At 51.8% G+C, this 14,427-nt stretch overlaps 1 protein-coding gene across 12 annotated transcripts in view; it reads left to right on the plus strand.

Moving 5' to 3' along the window:
• VWA5B1 (von Willebrand factor A domain containing 5B1) overlaps positions 1 to 14,427 on the plus strand; it is a 68,644-nt gene that overhangs the window by 13,848 nt on the left and 40,369 nt on the right. For 10 of the 12 annotated variants that reach the window (NM_001039500.3, XM_047445799.1, XM_011540684.3 and 7 more), the window contains exons 2-6: positions 5,854 to 6,018; positions 8,114 to 8,266; positions 9,600 to 9,870; positions 12,808 to 12,953; positions 13,868 to 13,999. In NM_001039500.3, coding sequence (NP_001034589.2) covers positions 5,880 to 6,018; positions 8,114 to 8,266; positions 9,600 to 9,870; positions 12,808 to 12,953; positions 13,868 to 13,999 — 841 coding nt within the window. In that variant the 5' untranslated portion in view covers positions 5,854 to 5,879. Of the gene's footprint in view, positions 1 to 5,853; positions 6,019 to 8,113; positions 8,267 to 9,599; positions 9,871 to 12,807; positions 12,954 to 13,701; positions 13,742 to 13,867; positions 14,000 to 14,427 lie in introns of those variants that run through there. The other 2 variants (NM_001377531.1, XM_006710360.4) reach the window with 2 other exon arrangements.

Raw genomic sequence — 14,427 nt, forward strand, 5'->3', positions numbered from 1 at the left:
GGCAGAGGTGACAAGGCTTGAGGGAAGCTCGGCACAGGAGATAGTGTACCCTCATGTTTAAGCACATGGTCCTTCTGCTGTGGTTTACTCTTAGGTCATTGTTTACTGGCTGTGTGGCCATGGGCAAGTTGCCTCACCTCTTCGAGCCTTGGTATTTTCATTTATCAAATAGGGATACTAAGAGTACTCACCTCCGAGAGATGCTGAAAATCATATATGTAAAGCACTCAGTGGTATTTCATCCATTCAGCAAATACTTATTGAGCATCTGCTATGTGCCTGGCACTACTCTGTGGGCAGTGGATACAGCAGTGAATAAACTAAAACAAAATCCTGGCCCTCACAGGGATTACACCTTGGAGCGTTGGGAGACACATTAAACAAGATAAATAAGCAAGATATATATTATGTCAGATGGTGATAAGTGCTAAGGAAAAAAAACAAAGAAAGGAAGCTGGAAAGTGTTGGGAGGTTGCAATTTTAGGAATGAGCGAGTGGTCTTGAAGATGGACCCATCACAGATGGTATGTGAAGTTCAAGGCATGGGAGTGGAAATGCAGGCTGAGCTGGGAAGGAAGCAAAGGTTGCTGACATGCGGGATCAAGGGGTAAATGCCCAGGTTGTTGATGCACTGTTCCCAAGCATGCTCGAGTCACCTGAGATGATGGCAGGGCTTGGGAAACAGAGGAAGTCATGAGCCAAGCGCCAAGTGTTGACTAAAGGAGTATGATTGAGACCTTAGAGAAGGCAAGCCACAAGGATGGGATAGCCAAAATGCATCAGCCCCCCAAGGAGAAGGGTTTTGACAGGAGGACAGAAGAGTGACAGTCTTGGAGCAGCAACTGGGACCAAGGACACAGAGAGTTTCAGGAGAGGCACAAGATCTGGGGGAGTTTGCTGGCCATGCAGGGGCAGCTGTAGAGGACACAGGGGAAGGTTTGGAGAGGTGGGCAGTGGCCAGGAGCTGACTCAGGGGCACAGAATTACAGAGCTTCCCCCATGGTTTGATGGCCTGTTACAAGACGGGTGGCACTTATGGTAGGCAGGGAGGGTGGGTTTGGGCCATGGTACATAAAAACTGGAATGGGAGCCCAACAGATTGAACCTCCATAGCTTCTCTGTGGAGCCGCCCCTGACCTCATGGCCAGAGGATATCTCTCCCTCAGCGGAACCCATGCAAAACCCAGAAATGACCAGCCTGGCATTGTGATGACATATGGATCCATGCATTCATTCAACAAATATGTTTCACCCCTTTCTATGAGGGCAAGCACAGTTCAAGGTACTAAGGATGCATCGATAAGAAAAACAGGCCCCAATCCCTGCCCTTGTGGAAGGAGGCAGATGAAAAGCAATAAATGCAATGTTTTCTACATAACACATTGGAGAGACATGCTATGGAAAAAACTCCAAACAGAGCAGGATGAGGGATCTGAAGGAAAGGAGGAGAGGGGTGCAATTTTAAAGTAGGTTTTCAGGGCCCTTCCTGAGAAGGTGCCACCTGAGCAGACGTGAAGGGGTGAGGGAGCGAGCCATGAGCACGTGCATGTCTAGAGGCTGGAGTGAATCAATTAAGGGGTGGTCAGAAGGGAAACCAGCGGGGGCTCAGATCAATGGGGGCTTGAGGGACGTGGGGGCCATCAGGGAGTTTGAGCCATGGAGTCACACAACTGGATCCTTGTCTTCAAAGGACGACTCTGACTGCTCCACTGGGAATAGACTGTAAGGGGACAATGTGGCTGCTGCAGTGGGGATGACAAGAAGAGGCCAGATCATGAACTTCTGTCTTTATTTACTGGCTGTCTCTTCCATTAGTATCTCTACTCACGCCTGCCTGTTCCCACTGCATCCCCAGCACCTGGTGTCCTTCAGTGTCCTTGGGAGGCTGCTGGCACTCATTCATTCATTTCACTTTAGAAATATTTATTGAGCACCTATTATGTGCCAGGCATAAATATGAATAATGTCCTGCCCAGAAGGACAGCAACCATTTGGGATTTAGCATCTCTAGGCCATCAGAAAAGTGTTGGTATTTAACAGGCACACCAGGAACCTCTCTAAGCCGTATAGAACTCTTAGCATCCAAGTTGGACCCAACATTTCATCAGGAAAACACAGTCCAGAGCCTCAAATCATTCCAATCTTTCTATGTGCCTCTTAGAGAATATGAGAGGGGATCCAATTTATAACTCCGGGCACTCCTTCTGAAAAATCCTTTTTTCTTGCCCTCCCCAGTCCTCCCTCCCTTGTTCTTTAAGGCCCTCCCTCCCTCTTCTCCCCTGGCCCCTTTTGCCAGCTCCACTCAATCCCTTTCTGGTTTCTCTCACCTCACCAGCTCTTTTCCAGATGTAGCATCCCAAAAGTCAAGGAACTGGACAAAGACACGCTGTGTGGCACACTGAGGAAGGAGGTGGGGAAGGTAAACATAGTGTTGACCCTCACACACTTGACAAGCCCCACTCACACCAGACACCATTCCGAAGACTGAGCCCTGGCTTCCCACACCCTGACCCGGAGATGCCATGGCCTCGTCCCTGTCCCTGGGTGTTTCCTGTGGCCCGCGCCCACCTGAGGCCCAGGTTGGGACAGAGCTGGAAGGGAAGACACTCAGCAGAATCTACTCTGGTCCTCATGGTCCCCATCTCTCATGGGGATGGCCCTGGGCCCCTCCCAGGAGAAAGTCCTACACGCACACCCATTTACCTGTGTGCCATTGAGGCACCCCAAACCCACATCCAAAGCCAGCACACTCCCTTGAGGCCTCACTGTCCTCATCTGCAGAAGAATAATACCTTAGAAGGTTTTATGAGGATTAAATGAGATAATATATGTGCCTGGCACATTTTCAGTGTTTAATAAATTCCCGCTGTCATTGCTGTGACCTTTCCCCACTCCCACATTTCCTCTGCTGCTAGATTATAAACTCCTTGCCATGTGGGCTGGGTCTCATCTTTGTATAGCCAGTGGCTAATTCAGGGCCTGGAATACAGTAGGTGCTTATCAATGCTGGATGAATTGATAAAAAATATGCATTAACCAGGCCTCCACAGGATTTAAAGTTTATTCTTTCCAAGGGGTTCTGACATTCTTTTTTTTTTTTTTGTAATATAGATTTTGGTTTTTTATTTGCGTGCATGTGTGTGTATTTTTTTTAAGATAATTTCAACTTTTAGATTTAGGGGGTACATATACAGGTTTGTTACATGGATATGTTGCATGATGGTGAGTTTTGGGGTGCCACTGATCCCGTCACCCAGGTAGTTAGCACAATACCCAATAGTTAGTTTTTCAACCCTTTCCCCACTCCTTCCCTCCCCGACCAGTAGTCCCGAGTGTCTATTATTGCCATCTTTATGTCCATGAGTATACAAAGTTAAGCTCTCACTTACAAGTGAGAACATGGGGTTTTTGGTTTTCTGTTCCTGCATTATTCGCTTAGGCTAATGGCCTCCAGCTGCATCCATGTTGCTGCAAAGGACATGGTTTTGTTCTTTTTTATAACTGCATGACATTCCTAAAGGGTCAATGCTGAGGGAGTCTGCCGTCTGTTATCAGATGAGATGTCCCTCATCTAAGCCCCGCTCCCTGGGCCAGGGACAGTGTGGGCAGATTGGGTTGGGTAAGATGCCTTCGGCAGAATCTCACCCCAAGGTGGACTGGAGCTGAGGTCTGGGATCGCTGCATGTCTGGGTGCTGGCTCCCTAAGGCTGCGTTCCCCAATCAGCATTCCAGACAGGAGCGAACCAGGATGCAGGGGGACTGGGCGGGGAGTGAACATTGGGAGGGGGGATGTGGCTCTGTCAGGAAATGAAGGCCGCCATCTTGTCCAGCACCCTCACGTCTTGCCTCCCCACCCCCTTGAAGTTGCCAGGCTTTGCTCTGGCCACCAGGAGAGAGATCTCCTGAGAGAAGGCTACTTGGGGAGACAGCAGCTCCCTCCCGGCTCTTTATCTGCCTGCTGCTGTCAGTCAGCCCAACAGGAGATAAGCCCAGAGCTGTCTGGGCCTGAGCCCAGAGGGAGAACATAATTAAAAAGCCACTGCTGGCCTGGCGGGGTGCCGGGGTGTCGGGGAGCACCTGAGGATCTCAGCTGGGGACATGGAGGGGACCCAGGGGGAAACAGTCCCTTCTTTGAGAAAGAGCAGGGTAGTCAGCACTCACTGAACAGCCTTGCAAATAAAGGGCAGCAGGCTACCAGCCCAGGGAAGCTTTGCCTGGCACCTACCCCGCAGACAGGAAAACCAGAGGGAATCTGACCTCAGACTTCTATCCCACACCCTTCATTTGACTTTGCTTCCCATTCCCACCCCACTTCTTCAAGGCATGTGATTACTTGGGCGAGGGTCTTGGGAGGCCCTAGATCATTGAGATGTGGTCCTGAGAAGTGCTATGGAGGCCTTCATCCTGCAAGGATGAAAGCCATGCATTCTCTTATTCATTCAATCAACACAAAGGGGGTTGTGAAGCCAAAGTCGAATCAAGGTGAAGCCAAAGTCGATGTGGCCCATGCCCACGTGTGTAGCGCCTATGCTCAAATGGGAAACAGAGAGTAACAGACATCGCTCAGAAACAGAACGCAGCACAACAAATGGATAGAGATACTCTTGGGGAGAAAAACTCAGCTCCGTGGGGGGATGACAGAGGATGCTGGGCACACTGGTCTGGCCTCCCTGCAGAGGGGACCCAAGTTGACCATGAAGGATGAGTAGGGGGTTACTGGTTTAAAAATGAGCATGGGGTGGGCCTTCCAGGCAGAGCAGCAAGCACAGGGATGGAAGGAACAGGACACATGTCCGGAGTGGAAACTGCTGGGACCCGCAGGGTGTGTTTGGGGACCGTGGTGATGCTGGGCTGGAGAGGCCAGCAGGGGCCCAACCCCACAGAGCCACAGGCCACCTTAAGCTTTGGTTCTCTGTCCAAGAAGCAAGGGAACCCATTGGTGGGTAGAAGAGGGTAGTGGGGTAGCAGAGACCTGTCCAGTTTATGTGTCCAGAATGTTTGTTCTGGCCAGTGGGTGGAAGATGGATTCTTGGGCAAGAGTAGATTCAAGAGGCAGATCAGGAGCTGCAGTCCAGGCAGAGGTGGTGGTGGCCTGGGACAGGGTGCTGGTGGCCATGAAGGGAGGATGTGGACGGATACAAGGGCTTTTCTAGGGAAGACACATGGGTCTTGGCGATGGATTGGCTGTGTGTGTGTGTGTGTGTGTGTGTGTGTGTGTGTGTGTGTGTGTGTGTTGCGGGCGTGGGGGTGGGGGGTGGTGAGAAGGAGGTGCAGGAATGACTCCCAGGTTTTGGCCTCTACACCTGGAAGAATGTGGCTCCCCTTACTTTGGTGACTATTGGGGTTGGCCCTCACATACCAAGCGTTCACTGCAGTGGGCAGCCTCACTGAAGTCAGAGGAGGGACGTGGTGAGCTATTCCAACGCTCTCATTCTGCAGAGGCAACATCTGAGGCTTAGAGATTACCGGACACATAGAGGATGGGGTCAGAGCCTGAGCCCCTCGACTCCCCTCCCCGCGTGGTCTGTTGGGGAGAATTCCAGGCTGAACGTGAGGCTCACTGGGCTCTAGCCCTGACTGTGCGCCAACGCTTTGAGTGAATCCCAGCAGGTCACATGCTTTCAAGCCTCAGTTTCTCTACCTGTAAAATGAAAGGAAGAGAACGGCCACTTCTCTTCTCAGGGGAGATTGGTAGTTATCCTGCGGTCACTTCCTTCCCAGGAACTGGGAAGTTCTTGGGGAAAATGAAAACAATGATGCTCTGATTGCTTGAGGGTGTCTGAAACGGGAAAACTAGGTTGAGGGGACCTGGGGGAGCCTCTTCCCACTTCCTGCCCTTCCTGTGTCTCACAGGTTCTGAAGGCTGAGTAGCCAGCGGGATGCCCGGCTTGCTGAATTGGATCACGGGGGCAGCCCTGCCCCTCACCGCGTCTGATGTTACCTCCTGTGTCAGCGGTTATGCCCTGGGCCTAACTGCCTCCCTCACCTATGGCAACCTGGAAGCCCAGCCCTTCCAGGGTAAGGACACCTGCTGGGGCCTCCCCGGGACCACCCCCTCCTCCACAGTGAATCCCTGTTTTGACATTTACTCGCTGACTGACCTTAGGCAAGTCATGCCACCCCTCCGAGTCTGTTTCCTCATCTATAAAATGGTGAGATTCTTTCTGCTTTGCAGGCCTCAAAGCTAGTAGCAAGGAGGGTCAGGATTTGAGCTGAGGAGGTTTGGATTCAGCCCCAGCCAACTGTCCCTGCACTTTTCTTTTTCTTTGAGACAGAGTCTCATTCTGTCGCCCAGGCTTGAATGCAGTGGTGCGATCACGGCTCACTGCAGCCTCCACCTCCCGGGCTCAAGAGATTCTCCCACCTCAGCCTCCCAAGTAGCTGGGACTACGGGCATGTGCCACCACACCCAACTAATTTTTGCATTTTTTGTAGAGATGGGGTTTTTCCATGTTGCCCAGTCTGGTCTCAAACTCCTGAGCTCAAGCAATCCACCCACCTCGGCCTCCCGAAGTACTGGGATTACAGGCATGAGCCACAGCGCCAGACTGTCCCTGCATTTTTACAGTCCACAAGGCACACTGTCCACAGGTCAGTCCCACACTTTCTCCAGGGAGCCTCACAAGAGGAGAGGCATCAAGACTCAGTCAAAGCCAGGAGCCTCCACTCCTACCATGGTTCTTGCTCCTATGACCCTGGGGAAGCTGCCACTCCCTCAAAATCGCTATGCTCCTCTCTGCTGTCCAGATGCCCTGGATTGTGGCGGAGCAGATGAGGTAATACAGAAGGCAGGACTTTGTGGACTGAGAAACCATCTGTGAATATGAACCACGGTCAGGGATGTGGAGTCACACTGGCCTGCCAGAGTCATTTGTAAATCAAACTCCTCTCCTTCCACTTCAGGAGGGGAATTGTGGGAAGGCTAGGAGGACACCGGCCAGGATTCCCTTCCTATCCGCAGTGATGGGGCCTCATAACCACCAAACTTCATGTCTTTGGTCACCAACCTTTGGTGACCAAACCTCAGCCCCACCTGAGGTTCTGAAACCCCTGCAGGCTACCCTGAGGACCAACACTACCCAAAGGGAGCTGCAGGGAAACTTTCTTTCCCTTAGAAATCTCCTGGGCAGGGCAAATGGCCCTGTTCCTCTGTTCAAGGAAACCTAGAGAGGGCGACTTAAATGAGGATCTACCTGTGGACTCAGGGGGCTAAATACCAAATAACTTCCAGCAGCCCTTTGGCTTTCCACGTGCAGAAGGAACAAGTGCCCCCATTTTACAGATGAGGAAACTGAGGCCCAGAGGGAGCGGAGGTCGGGGTTTGTGAGGGGCTCACCCTGGACCCAACATTGTGCTGTTCCAATATTAAGAGGGTAGATAAAATAAGACCTTAACACTGTAAATGTGATCCCCAGCCGCCAGCATTACTCAGAAGCTGCTTAGAACTGCAGGACGTCTGGCCCTACCCCAGAGCTACTGAATCTGAGTCTGCATTTTAACAAAATCCAAGGTCATTCGTGAGCTTCGAAAGTTTGAGAAGCACTAAGATATAATAATGTGTGGCACGTGGCTTAATAAATGATGCCTATTTTTTCGATTCTCACTACAAACCCTGGGAATTAGGCTTCATTATCCCCATCTTACAGGTGGTGCCAGGAGGCCTAGAGAAGCTAAGTGTCTTATCCAAGGTCACCTGGCTAGGAAACATGATGGGGTCTGGATTAGAACTCTAGTCTTCCTCCAAAGCCCCAATCTTCCATGCCACAGGTGGCAAACCTGTGGCCCATGGACAAAACTGACCACACAGATGTGCTATATGAGGCCCACACAAGTCCCATAGAAACCCATGTTTTCACTCTCTTGGAAAATCAGAAGTTCTGGCCACACCAGGCTCACACACCTGCAAAATAAGAGCTGGCCCTGCCGCTGTGCTTACCCACCTGGTCCCAGAGCTGGGAGGTCCCAGTCTGGCTCTCTGCCGAGGCCTCTCGGCATCCAATAAGCGGCAGTGGGCACCACCCAACAGGCAGACCAAGGGTTCAGGTTCCTTCCAGGCAAGGGGTGTGCAGGGTAGGCCTGGGGCACCCCGTGATGCTGGGCCCTGCTCCGACAGGCCTCTTCGTGTACCCCCTGGATGAGTGCACCACGGTGATCGGCTTTGAGGCAGTCATTGCCGACCGTGTCGTGACAGTACAGATCAAGGACAAAGCCAAGCTGGAGAGCGGCCACTTCGATGCCTCCCATGTTCGATCCCCAACAGTCACAGGTAAGGAGACCAGAAGGGCTGCCGCGGGACCTGGGTTTGGCCAGCCAGAGGCTGCCTGGGCTGGAGCCTCAGGCCAACTGCAAGGATAGCAGTGGGATATGAGGCAGAAAGAGCACTGAACTAGTCAAGAATCTTGGACAGAATCCTGTGCCACCTTGGGCCAATAATGAACTTCTCTGAACCTCAGCTTCACTGTCTGTAAGACAGAGGTAATTGACTTTCTGTAGTCACCTCAAAAGTGTGAGGCTCAAAGGAAGGGAGGCAACAAAAGGATTTTAAAGGTCTCTCTAGAGAACAGAATAACATATCTTTTAAGTTCAGAGGCTGTGGGACCAGTCACACCAGGATTTGACTTCCTTTCCTGTTGCTCACAAATGGTGGAGCTTAGAGAAAAAATTAACCCCCTCTGTAAAATGGAATAAATAGCTGTCCTCACCCGATGCTCAACAAGGACAATGCACGCAGAGGACTCACATCACAGTAAATACTCAAAGCATGGCTACTAATGCCTGCTACTGAGGAAACTGAGGCTCAGAGAGGGAGAGCAACTGGCTCAAGGTCAGTAAAAGACAGCTGTTACTGCCTTTTAGGCAGCACGTCACACAGCATGTTAGTGGAAGAGCCAGGGCTAGAATGTAGACCAGGTATAATATAATGTAAGAGATTCTTACTACTGGATCTACGATCAAGGTGAAGTTTGTTCACGTGGTTATTAAAATGTTCGGTGAGCACTCATCCTGTGTAATGTGCAAAGTTGTCCCTGAGTTGTTATGATTTATCACAGTCTGAAAGGCTAGTTAGGATCTGTCTAGGAGTAACCATGATGGGAGCAGGGGGTGGAAAGTGGCTGTGTCAAGAGAGGTTGTGATGATGTTAGAGGAAAAGACCAGCCCAGATCAGGGACCAAGGAGGTGTTCACGGAGGGGTTGTGTGGGTGGGTAGACTGGCTAATTAGGGATGAAGGAATAGGTGTTTTGATAAAAGGAAAGAGCATGAGCAAAACTATGGATCCCCAAGGTGGAGGACGCTTCGATTTGGTTCTTGGGGTGGGAAGTAGAGTTTGGAGGATGAAGATGTAACTCTCTGTTGGGGGTTTTGTGAGTCCAAGTTTTCCACTCCCAGCAAGGTAGAGTGGAAAGTTCACAGGCCTAGAGTCAGACGCATGGGGGTTCAGATCCTGCTTCAATGGCTTACTTATTCACAAGTCACACCCTCAAGCTGAGCCTTGATTTTCCCATCAGCAAAATGGGCCACTCACACTTACCACAACAGCAATCTTAGAGGGGATCAGAGATAATCTATGTACAGCCCCTGACGCCAGCCTGGCACTTAGGGAACATTCTGCAAGACGGGGTTTCCATAGCCCCTCATTCCTGCACACCGGGAAAGGTGACCTTGGACGAGGATTTGGAGCGGATCCTGTTCGTGGCCAACCTGGGGACCATTGCCCCCATGGAGAATGTCACCATCTTCATCAGCACCTCCTCGGAGCTCCCAACGCTGCCCAGCGGGGCTGTGAGGGTCCTTCTGCCTGCTGTCTGTGCCCCAACCGTGCCCCAGTTCTGCACCAAGAGCACTGGCACCTCCAACCAACAGGCCCAGGGGTAAGGAAGCCCTGCCCAGACCAATCAGAGTCCCAGGTGGGCAGCAGAGAGTGCGTCAGGTGACATTAGTAGGGGACAGGGTGGGGGGAGACAGGGAGGAGATGGGGAGGCTCTGCTCTACGATTGCCACCCTCTGAGCCATTTGCTTCTCCCCTGCTCACTTTTAGAACACTTAAAAGTATCCCTGAAATGCCCCTGTAATGGTACTGGCCAGAAGTTATGAAATTTGGACAGCTTGGAATCAGCATTTCCAAGCTGTCCAAATTTCATAACTTTACTCAAGAGGTACTTTCTGAGCACCTACAATGTGCCAGACACTGAGCTGGTTGTTAGGGATAGAGAAAGAGAAAAACCAACATGTTTCCTGACATTTTGGAACTTGGTGGAAGACCATTATACAACGATTAACACAATGAATTATGTGACTAATTATGTACTGGAATGCGTTATTGACTGAAAAGTACAAGGAAGGAGAAGTTCATTGGGCTAAGAGTATAAAAGACGGACCCAACCTAGGGGGCCAGGGGCTGGACCAGGCTTCTCCGAGGAGTGATGTTTCAGCTGAGAACTGAACGATGCGGAGGATGTAGGCACAGAGAAGAGCGTTCTCGTGGGCGAAAGCAGCAGGGACAAAGGCCCTGGGGTAGCAAGGACAGGGCCCCAGAGAAGAACAGAAGCACAGGTGGCACGCAATGAGGCTGCAGAGGCATTGGATGCCCTTTGGCCCTGGCTAAGACTGCGTTTCTCCCAAAAGCAACAAGGAACCATTAAGAGGGTTTTTGACAGGATGGGGAGGGGAACATGACAAGCCCAGTACTTGGACAGTTTCTCTGTCCTCCCCTGGTGTACAGGAGGGAAAAGGAGGTGGGTCACAGTCCAAGGCACTTACAGCTGAGATCATTTTCTATGAAAATAAGTGCTATAGGGGATGGAAGGGGACAGAGTGGGACAAGTGCTATTTTAGCTGCAATGGACAAGAACTAGACACCATTTGTGGCCTGACCTGAATGAAGGGTGCAAGCCATGGACATATTCTAGAGGGAATATTTTGTGCAGGGAGAGTCACAAGTGCAAAGGCCCTGAGGCAGCAGCAGGTGCCATGTGTCACGGCAGCAGCAGAAAGGCTGGTGTGGCTATCGCAGAGTGAGAGAGGAAAGGAGAGAGGTCAGATGGGTGGTGACAAGGGGGAACGTGCAGGGCCTTGAAGGACAACACTTGGCACAACAGAGAAGCTGGTGGCATAAGCCAGTCTCAGACCAAAGAGCGCCAGCCTGTGTGTTGTCTTTGTAAGTGTTGCCAGTGATGACGAGCCTTGTGCATTTGAGAGGCAGGGCCTAGCTAGGACATCCGGACCTCAGTGGATCAGGGAACAAGAGGCTCAGGTGGCCCTGATGCCACTGAGTGGGTCCTAATACGCTTATTCCTGCCCATTCCAGCAGGCAGAGTTAAGAGTGACACTCTTGGGAAAAGACTGCCTCAAACCCCTGTGAATCTCAAAGGAGCTCAGATAGAGTGACACAAGACAAAATTCAAAAACCAGATGATGCCAAGTATTAGTGAGGAGAGGGGGGATGCTTGTTCACTGCTAATGGAATTAGGAAAGGGGACATCCACCCTGGAAAGCAATCTGGCAATCCTCGGTGTGGCCTTTCACCCAGGGATCATGGAGAAGTTCTTTCACAAGTCCAAAGGGAGCACGGACAGGGATATTCATGGTGGCGTTATTTGTGGATGCAGGGAGGCCGAGCTGGGAACAACAAGTACAATGTAATGGATGCCCCCAAGTGACATCAAGTTAGCAGCGAGGACTTGGGTTTGCAGCCACCTGGGTAGAGTTTTAAGACGTAACACGGTGCCAAAAAAAGTAAGAGATCGAGGGAGACTCATAATATAAGGCAATCTTGTCAGCTTAAAGCACAATCACACCCAAATGCTGCCAAGTATTTTACAAGGATGTGTGCATATGGAAGGACATAGATTAAAGACCTTAGGGGGTGTGCCTGTGGAGACAGAACAGGATGGGAGATGGGGTGGAGATTGCAAAGAAAGAGGGTCCCGAAACGTGAGTACTCAGCAGGTGACAGACACTTGGCTAAGCCGTTGCTCCTGGAGTCCTCAAAGCAACTGCAAAGTATTGTCCCCATTTAAAGGATGGGAAAACAAACACTTAGAGGAGAAATGACTCGCAGGGCTTGCAGCTTACAGAGACAGAGCAGAGATTCAGGACGTGGCGTGACGCAGTACAAACTCTTTCACCATGGAGCCAGACAGACCTAGGCTAGGAGATCTGGGCCAGGACTCTGCCAAATCTTAATAGTGGGAATGGAGGCCGAGACGGGCGGATCACGAGGTCAGGAGATTGAGACCATCCTGGCTAACACAGTGAAGCTCCATCTCTAGTAAAAACAAAAAAATGAGCCGTGCGTAGTGGCGGGCACCTGTAGTCCCAGCTACTCGGGAGGCTGAGGCAGGAGAATGGTGTGAACCCGGGAGGCAGAGCTTGCAGTGAGCCAAGATAGCACCACTGCACTCCAGCCTGGGTGACTGAGCAAGACTGCATCTCAAAAAAAAAAAAAAAAAAAAAAAATAGTGGGAACTTGTGCCAGTTACCTCACCACACTGAGCTTCAGTGTCCCCACATGGAAAGTGGAGACCCTGAAATCTTCCTCCCAGAGCTGCGGTGAGAACGATGTGAGCTACCCATCGGGAGCACCGTGCCTGGTGCCTGGCCCAGTGTGGGTGCTCCTTGGAGGTGGCTGTGCCTTACATCAGAATCCAGGCTCTCCCTGGGGTCAGGTTGAGTGGGAGAGCACGGGTCTGGGGGCCCCCTTGGTGGGCTGGGCTGCCTGGAACTCATCGTCCTCTCCTTGTCTTCTCGCGCTGGACCCCTTCTTCCACCCTGGCTGGTCTCCTTTCCTTCCCCCGGCCCTTTTCCAGCAAAGACAGGCACTGCTTCGGTGCCTGGGCCCCGGGCTCCTGGAATAAGTTGTGCCTGGCGACTCTCCTGAACACCGAAGTGTCCAACCCCATGGAGTATGAGTTCAACTTCCAGCTGGAGATCCGTGGGCCATGTCTGCTCGCAGGTGAGAGGGAGACATCCAGACGGGATGGGTGAGCTTCAGGCGAAAAGCCAAAGGCTGCCAGGGATGGGACGGGGGTGGGAAGGAAAGCCAACTGGCCCAGATGGCAGACCTACTAAAGTACACAAAGCCTGTGGACCCCCATTTCCCATGGCCCCAACAAGCAGCCCAAAGATAAGTCCCTTCCCAGGATGGATTTCAAGGCAACCGACTTTCACCCCAGTGGCTTCCTCGGAAGAATGTCCATGGGGAATGGTGGCCCTTGGTTCTCTCCTAGAGGCCACAGCTGTAAAGCTGCTTCCTGGTTCTCACCTTGTCTACATATCAGAAGCACCCAGAGACACCCAAACATCCTGCATCCTAGATCCCACCCCCCAGAGATTCTGGGGTGAGTTCCAGGCATGGAAACATTTAAAAGCTTCCCAGGAGATTCTAACATGTAACCAGGATTGAGAACCATTGCTCTGAAGCTTCTCCCCACAACCACTCAGAGCCTTAAAAGGACACTAGGATATGGTTTCTTGTCAGTGCGTCCTCTCCTAGAGCAACATTGCATTCCAGTGTGAGGTGCGTTTATGGAGCACCCGTCAAAAAAGCACCCTCCGACGGAGCGCTGAGAGCCATCTGCTTGGCAGGATGCTGGGATCAGTGCGTGCCCTATAAGAATGCAACTCCTCCGACCCCCACTAGATCCTGAGTTCAGAGCAGGAAGAGTCATCAGACACCATCTATCTAAGCTTTCATTTTACAGGTGGGGAAATTGAGGCAGCCTGGCCATGGTCACACTGCAGGTCAGGAGCCCCTAACGGGGCTGGCATGTCACTCATCTCTGGCCTGGATCTCGGTGTGCCCCAGCGAACTCCTCTCTCTCCTGACCTCATGAGCCTATATCCCCCTTGCCTTTCTATGCCACTCAGGGGTGGAGAGTCCCACTCATGAGATTCGTGCCGACGCCGCCCCATCTGCCCGCTCGGCCAAGAGCATCATCATCACCTTGGCCAACAAGCACACCTTTGACCGGCCTGTGGAGATCCTCATCCACCCCAGCGGTACGGTGCCCCACAACGGGCCCCTGGGCTGCCTGTGGGAGGGAGGAGGTGCTGATCCTGTGGGGACAGAACATGTGGCCCCCCGCCCAGCAGCTAGCTAGCCAGGGAAAGAGTCGGGGTGGGGGGTGTGGCCAAGGAGAGGAGACCCACTACTTGCCTTCTGGGAAAGTTGGCTCTAGCTGGTGGAATCGAGTGTCTCCTGCCCTGATTCAAGCTCCAGAGGCCTAGGGTCTCATCCACCCATCGGGGCACTTTACCCCCAGGCCAGCTGAACAGAGAGAGGATCTTTGAAACCCAAAGCTCAGTGATACCCTGGAAATTCTGTAGCCTCAAGGAGAAATTCTTGTCTGTTCAAGAATTCACAGAATGTCAGGACCTAAACACATCAGAGAGTCATTTAACCCCATCCTACTACCGTTTTACAGATG

Source organism: Homo sapiens, chromosome 1 (genome assembly GCF_000001405.40).
Source record: "Homo sapiens chromosome 1, GRCh38.p14 Primary Assembly".
NCBI classification, from domain to species: Eukaryota; Metazoa; Chordata; class Mammalia; order Primates; family Hominidae; genus Homo; species Homo sapiens.